General features: G+C 40.7%; 1 annotated feature.

Annotated features, from left to right (window-relative positions):
- Nucleotides 1,448-2,035: an enhancer, noted in NCBI's record as "OCT4-NANOG-H3K27ac-H3K4me1 hESC enhancer chr5:81839635-81840222 (GRCh37/hg19 assembly coordinates)". NCBI's record gives its function as "activates a minimal SCP1, AML or CMV promoter by ChIP-STARR-seq in naive H9 embryonic stem cells {active_cell/tissue: H9 hESC(naive)}" and the evidence as "EXISTENCE:reporter gene assay evidence [ECO:0000049][PMID:30033119]".

The raw sequence follows: 13,321 nt of genomic DNA, 5'->3' as shown, positions 1-13,321 counted from the left end.
CAGGGAGTGTATTAGGCCATTCTTACATTGCTATAAAGAAATACCTGAGACTGGGTAATTTACAAAGAAAAGAGGTTTAATTGGTTCATGGTTCTGCAGGCTGTACAGGAAGCATAGCACTGGCATCTGCTTCTGGAAAGGCCTCAGGAAGCTTTTACTCATGGTGGAAGGCAAAGCAGGTGCAGGCACTTCACAGGGTGAAAATGGGCAAGAGAGAGAATGTAGGGGCAGGTGGCACACACTTTTAAATGATCAGATCTTGTGAGAACTCACTCACCACACAAGGACAGCACCAAGAGGATGGTGCTAAACCATTCATGAGAAATCTACCTCCATTATCCAATCACCTCCCACCAGGACCCATATTCTGCCCATGGTCCCTCCCAAATCTCAAGTCCTTTCTTTTTTTTTTTTTTTTTGATGGAGTCTCACTCTGTCACCCAGGCTGGAGTGCAGTAATGTAATCTCAGCTCACTGCAACCTCCACCTCCCAGGTTCAAGTGATTCTCTTGCCTCAGCCTCCTGAGTAGCTGGGACTACAGGCATGTGCCACCATGCCCAGCTAATTTTTTGTATTTTTTTAGGAGAGATGGGGTTTCACCGTGTTAGCCAGGATGGTCTCGATCTCCTGACCTCATGATCTGCCCACCTTGGCTTCCCAAAGTGCTGGGATTACAGTTGTGAGCCACAATGCGCAGCCTCTCATGTCCTTTTCACATTTTGAAATACAATCACTTCTCAATGTCCCCTCAAAGTCTTAACTCATTCCAGCATTAACTCAAAAGTCCCAAGTACAAAATTCAAAGTCTCATCTAGAGATGAATTCCTTCCACCTATGAAACTGTAAAATCAAAACAAGTTATTCACTTCCAAGATATGATAGAGGTAGCAGTATTGGGTAAACATTCCCATTCCAAAAGGGAGAAATTGGCCAAAAGAAAAAGGCTACAGGACCCACACAAGCTCAAAACTCAGCAAAGCAGTCATTAAGTCTTAAATCTCCAAAATAATCTCCTTTGACTCCATGTCCCACATCAGGGTACATTGCTACAAGGGGTGGAATCCCAAAGTCTTGGGCAGCTTCATCCCTGAGGTTTTGCAGGGTTCAGCCCCAAGGCTGCTCTGACAGGTTGTTGACTTCCTATGACTTTTCCAGGCACAGGGTGCAGGCTGCCGATGGATTTACCATTCTCAGATCTGGAGGGTGGTAGCCACTTTCTCACAGCTCCACTAGGCAGTGCCCCAGTGGAGACTGTGTGTGGAGGTTCCAACCCCGCATTTTCCCCTTGGCATTGCCCTAGTAGAGGTTTTCTGTGAGGGCTCTGTCTCTGCAACAGCCTTCTTCCTGGACACCCAGGCTTTTCCATACATGCTCTACAATCTAGGCAGTGGCGGCCAAGCCTCAACTCTTGCACTCTGTGCACTGCAGGCTTAACACCACATGGAAGCTGCCAAGGCTTATGGCTTACACTCTCTGGTGCTGCAGCTTGAGCTGTACCTGGGCCCCTTTGAGCTGAGAATGGAGCCAGAGTGGCCAGGATATGAGGAACAGTGTCTTGAGGCTGAGCAGGGCAGCAAGGCCCTGGGCCTGGCCCACTAAACCATTTTTCTGTCCTAGACCTCTAGGCCTTTGATGGAAAAGGCTGCCTTGAAGATCTCTGAAATGTCTTTGAGGCCTTTCCCATTGTCTTGGATATTAGTATTTGGCTCCCTTTTAGTTATGCAAATATCTAGCAAGTGGTTTTTCCATGGCCTACTTGAATTCCTATCCCAAAAAAGCTTTTTCTTCTTTTGCCACGTGGCTAGGCTGCAAAATTTCCAAACTTTACATTTTAATTCCTGTTTGAATATTACTCCAACTTCAAGTTATTTATTTGCTCCTCCATCTGAGGATGAGCTGTTAGAAGCAGCCAGTCCACATTTTGAACACTTTGCTGCTTAGAAATGTTTTTCTGCCAGATACCCTAAATCATCACTCTGAAGTTCAAACTTCCACAGATCCCTAGGGCAGGGGCACAATGCAGCCAAGTCCTTTGCTAAGGTATAACATGCATGACATTTGCTCCAGTTCCCAATGAGTTCCTCATTTCCATCTGAGACCTCAGCAGCCTGGACATTACTATCAATATCACTATCAGCATTTTGGTTACAACCATTTAACCAGTCTCTAAGAAAATCAAAGCTTTCTCTCATTTTCTTGTCTTCTCCTGAGCCTTCCAAGAATTTCCAACCTCTGCCTGTTACCTACTTCCAAAGTTTCTTCCACATTTTTAGATATGTTTATAGCAATACCCTATTCCTTGTACCAATTTTCAGTATTAGGTCATTCTTGCATTGTTATAAATAAATACCTGTGACTGGGTAATGTATACAGAAAAAAGATTAAATTGGCTCACAGTTCTGAAGGCTTTACAGGAAGCATACCACTAGCATCTGCTTCTGGAAAGGCCTCAGGAAGCTTTTACTCATGGTGGAAGGTGAAGCAGGAGCAGGCACTTCATATGGTAAAAACAGGAGCAAGAAAGAGAGTTCAGGGGGAGGTTCACACACTTTTAAATGACCAGATCTTGTGAGAATTCACTGTTGTGAGGACAGCACCAAGGGAAGGAAGCTAAAGCATTCATGAGAAATCCACCCCTATGATCCAATCACCTCCCATCAGGTTCCACCCGTAATACTGGGGATTACAATTCAACATGACATTTAGGTGAGGACAAATATGCAAACTGTATTAGGGAGTATGGTTCAATATTAGTGCTTTTGTTCCTTTTGAGATTCCTGTAACTATATTCTGTAATGACTCGAGTTGGAGTCAGTCCTGAGGGCTGTCTAAAGAGGACAAGGGAAGGAAGGATGAGACTGGTTCTGTTGACCCTACACATAAAATAGACTCAATCTAATAAAGTATTTTCTAATACGGTAAAATAAATATCTCCAAAGAGTTTTACAATGTCCTTTAACATTGATAAGCTTTTTCTTTAGTGGTTTCACCAAGATTCCTTGAGCTCATGGCTTTTTAAAACAGCCTGGGTTTCCCAAGAGAAACTAATGCATGTATCACTGGCATTCTTTGTCTCATTCTCTAGCTCCCTGGCAAAATACTCAGCAGGCCCTCTTTCTTTTTTGGACTGTCTGAAATGGCCAAAAAAAAAAAAAAAAAAAAAAGAAGAAAACTATTTTAAAAACTGCTATGACTACCTTTGTAACAGCAACAGCCATTAGGGAGTTCTCTCCTCTTCCATTTCTTGTGATTAAATTTTAATGCAGTTAAAATTGTGATTTTTTAATGCAGTTGTGCATAAAAAAAATTGTGATTTTTTTTTAATGCAGTTACATCGAGCTAACCTGTCAAAGTAAATTCACCAAAGTTAAATTTTCCTGAAAGATTAAGGATGAAAAGTCAGCAATCCACAACTAGGAAAAAAGTGATAGGGTTGGCCTTGTTGTTTTCCAGATGTTTACCAGTAGATATTAAGTTGTTCCTGAACTAGAGTGGGCATGAATCCTATAGGTCCTAAATATCAACTTACAGGGCATTGCTGTTCTTCCTGCTTTTTAACATATGTCATAGGGTCAAAGAGTATAAAGGGCTGTTTTCCTTTAAAATATCTACAGTCTAATAATAAATTGCCCTTACCATATTTTATTTCCCACTTTTCTATTCCAAACACCTGAAGAACTAAATGAAAAGTAAATGGAAAGAGCAGGGTATGATCTCCTAAGTCAGTTATTAGCCTAAGAATTAGTGTTTGGAGAACAGCACTCTCCCCTTCCTCCTTTGTCCTGAGATTCAGATTCCCATCAGCAAAATGTAGTCCATAGATAATAATGACACTCATCTAATGATATTAAAGCATGTTGAGACCTGTCGGAGAAATACACGATTTTAAAACCAAAATATTCAAAACTATATAAACTTTTAAGTCTGAGCATACTAAAAATTGCTATTCATTAGAATAAGGTCTGGAATGAAGTTAATTTTACCGTATCCCCATTTCTGGATGATTTTATATATACTCCAAAAGCACAATTGATGACCACAAAAAAATAACATATTAAATAGTATATTAATTAAATACTTATAATGAGTCTCCTTAAAAACACCATTAGATAAATTTGTTGGCCTGGCTCTATTTGTTTTATGTACTTGAAGGCAATGAATTGTGCTTCTTTGTTCTACAAATTATTTCTTTTTTATCAACTCATGTATCTCTCTAAAATAAATGAAATTTTGGGGTTTACCACTAATATTCATCTTTTCTTCCTCCATTTAAGTAGTCAGGGGTATATTATTCAATTTTATAGTGAGAAGTCAAAGGGTCTAAACAACGTTAAAAAATATTACCACAATTTGGATAAAGTTATTTTCACTTCACAAAATAAATGAGGCAAACATTTTAAAACCTTCCAGAATACTGGATTATTTATTGCCTTCTAACTTGGTTTTCTAATTATGATTTTAATGAACTTATTTGGAAATTAAACTCTGCTCTTTACCGAAGAAAATGGGGAGGGGGTAGATGTGGGGAGCAACTGTTTCAGAGATAGTTTGCCAGAGCCATGTCATCACTCTTCGAGTGAGTCTACCTGAATTATTTTGGTTCTGCCTCTAATTGCCTTTGTGCTCTTGGCCAGGGCATTTGTTTATCAGATTCCTGATCTTTAAAATGTGGAGGTTCATCTAAATACTATCCAAAGTTGCTTTCAGCTTCCATAGAAGCTAAATTCTTCCACGTTATTCTTTAATAAGTTGATACGGAAGAATGAACAGAATTAAACAAGCCACGTTTCTGATTCTACCCTGTACTGAACACAACAAGCTTCTGAATCACTGCCATGTGCATAGCTCCTTCTGAGGAAAAATTTCTGTTTAGGCATCTCCAGGGCCAGCCTCATGGAAGTCAACATGACTGAATCCAACATGGCCACTTGGCTCATAAGTAGGAATCCAGGCCATGTTCTTTTGCAATTCAATGAGGAAGGCCAATAAGGTTCTCTGAATGCCTGGAAATTTTGAATTAGACAAAAGAATAAGTCAATTACTCATAGGATTTGGAGATCTATAGTCATTACTAGCAGAGAAGTTGGAGAGGCCATGGTGGATTATATGCAAGCTCAAGAAATTTCAAATAATTTTGTTCAAAGATTAAGGAGGCTTGATTATCGCAAGTACCACATTAATTAGACTTTTTATAAGTTAGCACATAGAAGGTTTGGAATTCTTTGAGGCAGACATTATTCAGATTATTTCCAAAAGGCCCCTTTGTTTTCTCCTCGGGATAATATTTTTTAAAAATGAGTTATTAGTCACAAGGGTTGTGATTAGTCACAGCCACCTGTGGTGAGATTTCCCTCCATAACTGCTTCAGAAATGCAAGTACAGCCTGGAGACATCCCTGTCTTCGGGGGGCTGAGGCTAGACCTGTCATGGGTTCTCTTATGTGGAATGACTTGTCTCCTTCTTCCACTTCCACAAGGACCAACATATATGATTTCAATTACAACTTCTCTTCTCATGAGGCATGAAGAGGTTACCTTCCTAACTCTCTAGCAGGGCAAATATAAAATAACAATGTGAAAATCCTTATGATAAAATGTAAAACCTGTCTTTACCATAAAGTTTCATTTCCTGGGGTAATCTGAGTGATTTTCTGATCAGAATCTTAAAATCAAAAAAGACTAGTTAAAACAACTCTCAAATCAACTATCTAGGGGTACTTTAATGAGGGGAAATCAGAGAACTGCAGAATTAGATGGTCATTAAAGAAGAGAACTAACTGAGGCCTCTGCCTGCAAACTTACACCACACACAATGGATGATTGTTGTTTCTATTTTGAAAGCTCTCTGATGAGGCTGATCCTAGTGAACGTAAAAGCTCCCCAAATCATGGTTATTGAAAGTAGTCTGGAAGGTCATCGACCTTCTAATTTCTTCTGTCTAGGCTTTCTCCTGCCTAATCCCAGGATATTGGTTAAGTTGACCTCAGAGGGGTCAGACTGATCTATTGCAACTCCAGAGCTTTTGTCCCAGTGCCAATGTCCTCTCCATCAAGAATCCAAGGGTCTAATGCAGCTTCCAGAAGTACCCTTTATTGGTAGAGACTTCCCTTCATTTATTCTTTGGTTCACTCAGTCAACCTTCAATCTTGAAGTACTTACAATATCCAAACATTGCTTAGGCCCAGGGAACACGAGACAGTAACAAGAGCTTTGCTGTGACAGCTCTTACATTCAATATAAGGAGAGAAAAATAAAAACAATTAAATGAGAAATGAGAATATACAGAAAATAACTTACTCATGAGTGTCTGGGTGTGTTCTTCAGATTATCTCAAAAGAGGTTGAGATCTGAAATGATGAGAAAGATAGTCAAAAAACTTTTAAAATATATCCTTTTCTTTTTGCAGACCTGTGCCACAGTGACTATTTCTAGAGCGCCACCTGAAAACTCTAGAACAGGTAAGACCAGCAGCAGGTCTGCCTTATCCCCAGTAGACACAAATCTGCACATGTCATCAAGAATACCCCTGGTTGCTGTAGGTCCCAGAGGACTAGGGAAGTGGAGGTGATGACTCCAGATGGCTGTGCACGCTATGCCCTCAAAGCCAGACTCTAGTCTTCTGAGGAAGAGGAAGTAAAATAGCACCTTCATCCACTGGGGATAGAGAGGTTGCAGGACACCTCTCCAGTTTCTATTTAGTGCCAAACCACCCTGGAAAAAGTACCCAGAGGATGAAACGTCAACCCTTCATTTTGGAGGGTAATCATCCACAATCCCCCACACTAAGAAGCCTACCTTATTATTCCACAACTAAAGTTAATTTCAAAGTCTTTTCTCCACAGTGCACCTAATATGAAGCAGATGTGGGAACCACCGCAGGACCAGGAGAGGCCCATTCTCCTATCTCTCCCAATCTCTGTCTGTTGCAAATAAGCCAAATTTAAACCAGCAATAACGCATGTTTCCAATCAGCACTGCAGCTTTCTCCCCACGGAAGTAACTCCTTGGCTTGCACAAGGGAAGGAAATGTTTTCTTCAAAAAGCAGTGCCAGGACAGGGAGCAGCTTATTCTCACGATAGTTAACATGCTCACCAGCCAATGCAGTGAGAAAATCAGTGCAGGAGCAGCCAGGGCAAGACAGGAGAGGCCTTATTTCAGCAGAAACAATGGGAAAGACAGAGGAGGATTGGGAAACATATCTATAAAGCTTAAGAACATGAAGCTTGTCTTCCTAAGCTATTGTGGATTCATAAGGAAGTGTGGTTCATGTTGAGAATGCTTTCTCTGCCTTATCTCTCACATGCCTGATCAGAAACTGAACAGACGGAAGTGATATCCTGAACCCCATGGAGAGGGTGGGGGCTGGCTTTTGTGCTATGTAATAGGAGGACATTAAACTAGGGTAGACTAAAACCAAAAATGTCCATAATGTGTTTTAGGACAACTCTTCCTGCTCAGCAGTAAGAAAATTTTAATATTTTGCCATACCATGAAAAATAAGAAAACATCATGGTTGCCCAAATAGGTCCCCATGAACAAAACCTATTTGGAAGGAAAAGCAAATACAAACATAAGAAGTCGTCACTCTTCCTTCTAGCCTCATACGCACCTTTCTGGATCTGCCCCCTTCAGTGCTTTTCACCCATTCTTAAAAAATGTGTCAACTCAGTTGTGAAAAACTGAGCTATTCGAGGCTTCGGGACATTTTGTGAAAGAAATAAGCTATCTGGGAATATTGTTGTTGACATTGGCTTTCGTTTGAGGTTTTACGTATGCATGCAGAGAAAGATTACGTGTGAGAATGTTAGAGGCAAGTTTCGCTCTCTGCAGTCTTTATTAAAAGTAATTAGTAATAAGCCAGTCTTCCATTTACAAGTATTTTCTCTGAAGAGACCACCAGTTCAGCTGTGTGTGCTTGCGTCTTTCTGACAGCAGTTCTCAAAGCGAAGCAAAGCAGTGGCATCTGTAGTAACAATCAAAACACCAAAAGCCTGGTGGTTAATTCAATAAAACTCTTGAGTACACAAATAGCTGATGATGTTTAATTGACTGAACAGATAGTGAGTAGCTGACAGTTCTGGGAATTACACTGGATATTTATTTTAATCTGTTTAATTTAAAATTGGAACAACATTTTATTGTGCAGTAAGTTTATATAAATTTTTTAATGGTTGGTTAAGTTACATGCTTGTTTTTAGATGGCAATTTTAAAACATTTATCACATGTAGCTTTTAAAGATATTTTCAATTTTCCCAAAGCATTGCAGAAATGAGTTTAATGGAATAAACATAAAAAGTCAACAGACCATCACACTATGTTTAAAAGAGCCTTCTCAGCAATAAGCAACCTGCATTCAAATCTTGTCCCTGCCACTTTCTAGCTCTGTGAGCTTGGACAAATGATTCTCTAAGCCTCACTACAACTATTTATTAAATAAGATCAAAATAATCTCAAACTCCTAGGGTTATTGTGAGCATTAATGAAACAAAGCAGGTAGAGCAATTGATAGAATGCCTGGTCCATGGTCAGTATTCAGTCACTATTCTCTCTCTTCTGCAACTTGGCCTCAGCTAGTTAATTTACACATTTGCCCTGAAGAGCTCACAGACTCCAGCTCTGGAGCCACATTGCTCATCAGAAATCAAATAGCACAAGGATTATTAAAGAGCACATGGTTCTTTTTGTTTACTGAAGTCCAAAATACAGAACTGTAGTTATCAACAGAGAAACACTCCTGCAAGGGCCACTAATTAAAGAACATGTTTCAGAACACATTTCATTTGTATTCTACGCAAAGAGAGCTGCCCATCACAGACTCATAAAATGCTAGCCCAGCAATACATCTTAGACTAGTTCACACCCAACACCCACCCGCTCTCCACCAGCCCAATCTCCATCGCCTTACTTTGCAAAGGAAAAAAAACCCAGTGAGTTGTTGTGGTCCCCCCGCTATTCATTCAAGTTTAGAAGCAATCCAAAACCAAATCTGGGGTCTCCCAATACATCATTAAATTTGGAGAGTTTTCCTGAATATGCAATTCTTACACACAAACTTGCTCACTGGCATTACTAGATAAATGTGACCTAGAGGCCACATGGCAACCATGCTACTGATTTGTCACCCAGTCAAAGCTCACTGACTATATTGGTGTCTCCAGTTTCTTCAATAGAGAAATGGCAATCACTTCTGGTCAGGGCTTGGATCCCAATTTGGTGTATGAGGCAGGCTCACAGGTACACCCTTCAGTGATGAGGTCTAGAGGACATAATTCATAGACATCCTGTTTCCTCTGCCAACGTTATGGCAGAAATGCCCTTGGACAAGTGAACCAGGTTTCTTTCATTCAAGTCCTACCCAGAAATCTATAGAAATGTCTCTTTTTGTTTGCTCAGGACAGCCACTTGCACCTACTCTGGGTGAAAGGGAAAGTACTTAAAAAGATTCTACTGGCTACAGTGGAAATCTCCAAAGTGAGTTACAGTAACTTAAAATTAGCACACTCCTTCAGCAAAACTTTGCCAAATAGCTTTTTTTTTTTTTTTTTTTTTTTTTTTTTGAGACAGAGTCTCGCTCAGTCGCCCAGGCTGGAGTGCAGTGGCTCTGTCTCCACTCACCGCAAGCTCCACCTCCTGGTTTCACGCCATTCTCCTGCCTCAGCCTCCCGAGTAGCTGGGACTACAGGCGACCACCACCACGCCCAACTAACTTTTTTTGTATTTTTTTAGTAGAGACGGGGTTTCGCCGTGTTAGCCAGGATGGTCGCGATCTCCTGACCTCGTGATCTGCTCTCCTGGGACTCCCAAAGTGCTGGGATTACAGGCGTGAGCCACTGCGCCCGGCTGCCAAATATCTTTTAAAACTCTAAGAAAGAGAATCTTTCCAGAGCAGGGATTCCAGTGCTGAGATCCCCCGTTGCTGCTGGTGCTTTCCTCACAATAACCTGCTTTGAAGTCTGACATCATGGGATGCAAGGGTCTTCCAGGCTTCCGGCAGCCACAGCACTGCCTGGGCTCTTCAGACTTTAGGAGAGGGTTCCCTTCAGTTCCCCTCCTGAATCGGCAAGTACTAACAATTCATCCACTTAGAGCTTCAGCTCTAATACAGTTAACTGGAAATTTTCTCCACAGAAGCCTCATTCCCTCTCATCTCAGAAGCTTCTCTAAGAACAAAGACTCATTGAGAAGATAGGAGTCTTGTCTCTGCACTGAGGAACTGAGGACATGCTCTTTAATTCCTTCGTTACAGCATTTCCGCTATCCGTGCTACTGACATTTAACAGGATGGACTCTGGACCTCCCTTCTATCTCTCCAAAGTGGAACTGGCAATGTTTCTTCAAGAAACTACCTTGGAGCCACATCAACATGTGTATCTAAATTACACAAAGTTAGGCATACAAATTTGGCAACTGAGTTTGCAATTGAGATTGCAATTGAGGGCAATCTTGCTTGCCTTCTATTCCATGAGAAAATGCGCCAGAGATGAAAGAGGTGAATCCACTTTTCCCTTCAGTGTGATTGGATAATTTTTTACAAAAACACATATTTTTGGAATAGCATGGCCCCAAAACACAAGCCAACCTCTTCATCTGGTGCTCATCTGCTTGAAAATCAGAACTAAAACTGGCTCTATGTTGGTTTCCAACAGAGAATCTTTCTTAAAGCTTTCCAAGAATTATTCTGTCTCTATGTGATTTTTCACTTACTCACTGCCTTTGGAATCTAATCCCCCCTTTACCATATGACTTTACTGTAGTCCATTCTTGACTGAGGTTTGAGAAATCATTGTGGTCTATCTCCCAACACATTGTCCTAAAGCAATAGATTAAAACAGCTAAATCAGGAAAGCTACCACTTATCTTCTTCAGACTTTCCCTGTGAATTCCTGGAGAGTCTGGGTTATGGACCACCCTAAGGAAGGTGTAGAAATATGGGTAAAGCGTGATGAAAATGTTATTTGAAAATGACATAGTGTCTCCTCCATCAAAGAATGGTATCAAGTCCATTCAGCCCTTTGAGGGCTTTGTAACATTTCATAAGGGTTGTTAATTCCTTACCTTTAAAATGTGCATCAGTGTCATTCCTGAATAGCCCTTAAAAGAGTCAGGGTTTAGATGCTTCCAAAATACAGTAACACTACTTCTCAGCTACTCTACAGAATTTGGATACTGAGGTGACCCACCATCTTTGAGATTTGCTTTAGTGCCTCCCTCCAAAAACACAACAGATGGAACCTGAGTGAGTTAACCTCAGGTTCTAACCTGAGTTAGAGCTGAGAGTCAATTGAGAGTGGGCAGGATGGAGATTATAATGAAGCTGGAATAGACACACATGAGGGAGCCCTAACTGGATCCCAGTGGAGACAACTAAAATGTTAAAATTAAAAAAAAAAAAAAAAACAGAACAGGAAGAGACAGCAAATGTTGGTGCGGTAAACCTCAATGCAAACAAGGCAATGAGTTCAAAAGCTGGCCCTGCTGAGACAACATAGAACTGTCCTCATAGAAGACAAGATATCCCTTGAGAGATGAGGCTAAAACTATTACAGAAAAAACTGACACAGAAAAAAACCCAAATGCCTAAGTGAAAAAATTCTAGAAATAGAAATCTCCAATTTGAGGGAAGGAGATAATTTTAACCAATAAAAATAATTAAGATGAAACTTAATGGAGAAAAAGAAAAAAAAACACAAAAAATACTGCTTTCAATTTTCTAAACATCTTCAACCCAGAAAAATGTGGTTGGGGCATCTGGCATCTTTGCCATCTGCATGTTCCTTGGAGCATGACACAAAGCTTGGAGGCTGAGAGAGGCAGGCAGAGCCTTCTGTCAAACACACAGGAATGTCCTGGCCAAATGGCCCAGGGAGGGTTGGGAGCAATGTTGTAAACTCCCTTTATAGTGATCTATTGTTTTGTTCTTGTTTTTGTAAGAATAATACAGAGAATATCTATTACTTTAACCCTGGAAATCCCTGAGAAAGAAGAGAAACTAGTGCCAAAGCCAGAACTACCCATTACAGGCCATAGTGGCATCTGTCATTAAATAGCAGCTCTATCATCCACTCTGTTTCAACATGGAAAAGCAGTGTCTGCAATACTGCATTACGTGTCAAACATCAGCCTTTGCCAGCTATCTGCAGGAATGGGTAAAATCACAGCATCTATGAGGGAATGATAGTTATTACCTATACTCTAAGACTGCAACTAATTTTGTTCCTCAATACTCAATAGCCTCAATAACCTAAATATTAATATAAGCTAGACTGCTGATTGAAGGTTTTCGAAGACTGCCATTGTGAAGCTGAAACAAATTCCAAATTTGTAGGCAGGATTTTCCTTCAAATAACGTCTGTTTCTGCAAGGTCAGTTCATAGAGCAGATAACCTGGAATAAGGAGGACATTTCACACAAAAATCACCCTGTTTTCTCCAGAACATGATAGGCTCCAGTAACAAACCTCAAAATCTCAGTGACTTAACAAAGCAAAGATGCTTTTCTCTCTCAGGAAAAGTCTGATGTGGATGGGACAAATTTTCCATGCTCATGCTCCTTCATGTGGGAATTCAGGGATCTAGGTTTCTCCACCTTTCCTTAAGCAGGGCGTGAGAGATAGAGGAAGAACACTAATTTTAGCTTGTATTCATAGCCTATGGGCCCAAACTGGTCACATCGTCTGAACTTAACTGCAGGGAACTGAGGTGATTTAGAAAAGCACAGGAAATATTTAGCTCATACTAACTGTCTTTGCCACATTCACATTTCTACACTTAATTTCTGATGCTGGGTGAGTAATATGGTTTGGCTCTGTCCCCACCCAAATCTCATCTTGAATTGTAGACCCTACAATTCCCACATGTCATGGGAGGGACCCAGTGGGAGGTAATTGAATCATGGGAGTGAGTCTTTCCCATAATGTTCTCAGGATAGTGAATAAGTCTCACGAGATCTGATGGTTCTATAAAAGGAAGCCTGCCTGCATAAGCTCTCTCTGTCTGTCTCTCTGTCTCTCTCTCTCTCTCTCTCTCTCTCTCATCTGCCACCATGTAAGAAGTCTCTTTGCTCTTCTTTTGTCTTCCACCATAATTGTGAGGCCTCTGCAGCCAACCTCTCTGGGTAACAGGCAGAGGTTGGAACACTTTGGAGGGCTCACAAGAAGACAGGAAAATGTGGGAAAGTTTGAAACTTCTTAGAGACTTATTGAATGGCTTTGACCAAAATGCTGATAATGAATGGTATGGACAATAAAATCCAGGCTGAGGTGGTCTCAGATGGAGATGAGGAATTTGTTGAGAACTAGAGTAAAGGTGACTCTTGCTAAG

This window comes from Homo sapiens, chromosome 5 (genome assembly GCF_000001405.40).
Source record: "Homo sapiens chromosome 5, GRCh38.p14 Primary Assembly".
Taxonomy (NCBI): Eukaryota; Metazoa; Chordata; class Mammalia; order Primates; family Hominidae; genus Homo; species Homo sapiens.
This window is presented reverse-complemented; position numbering and strand designations above follow the sequence as displayed.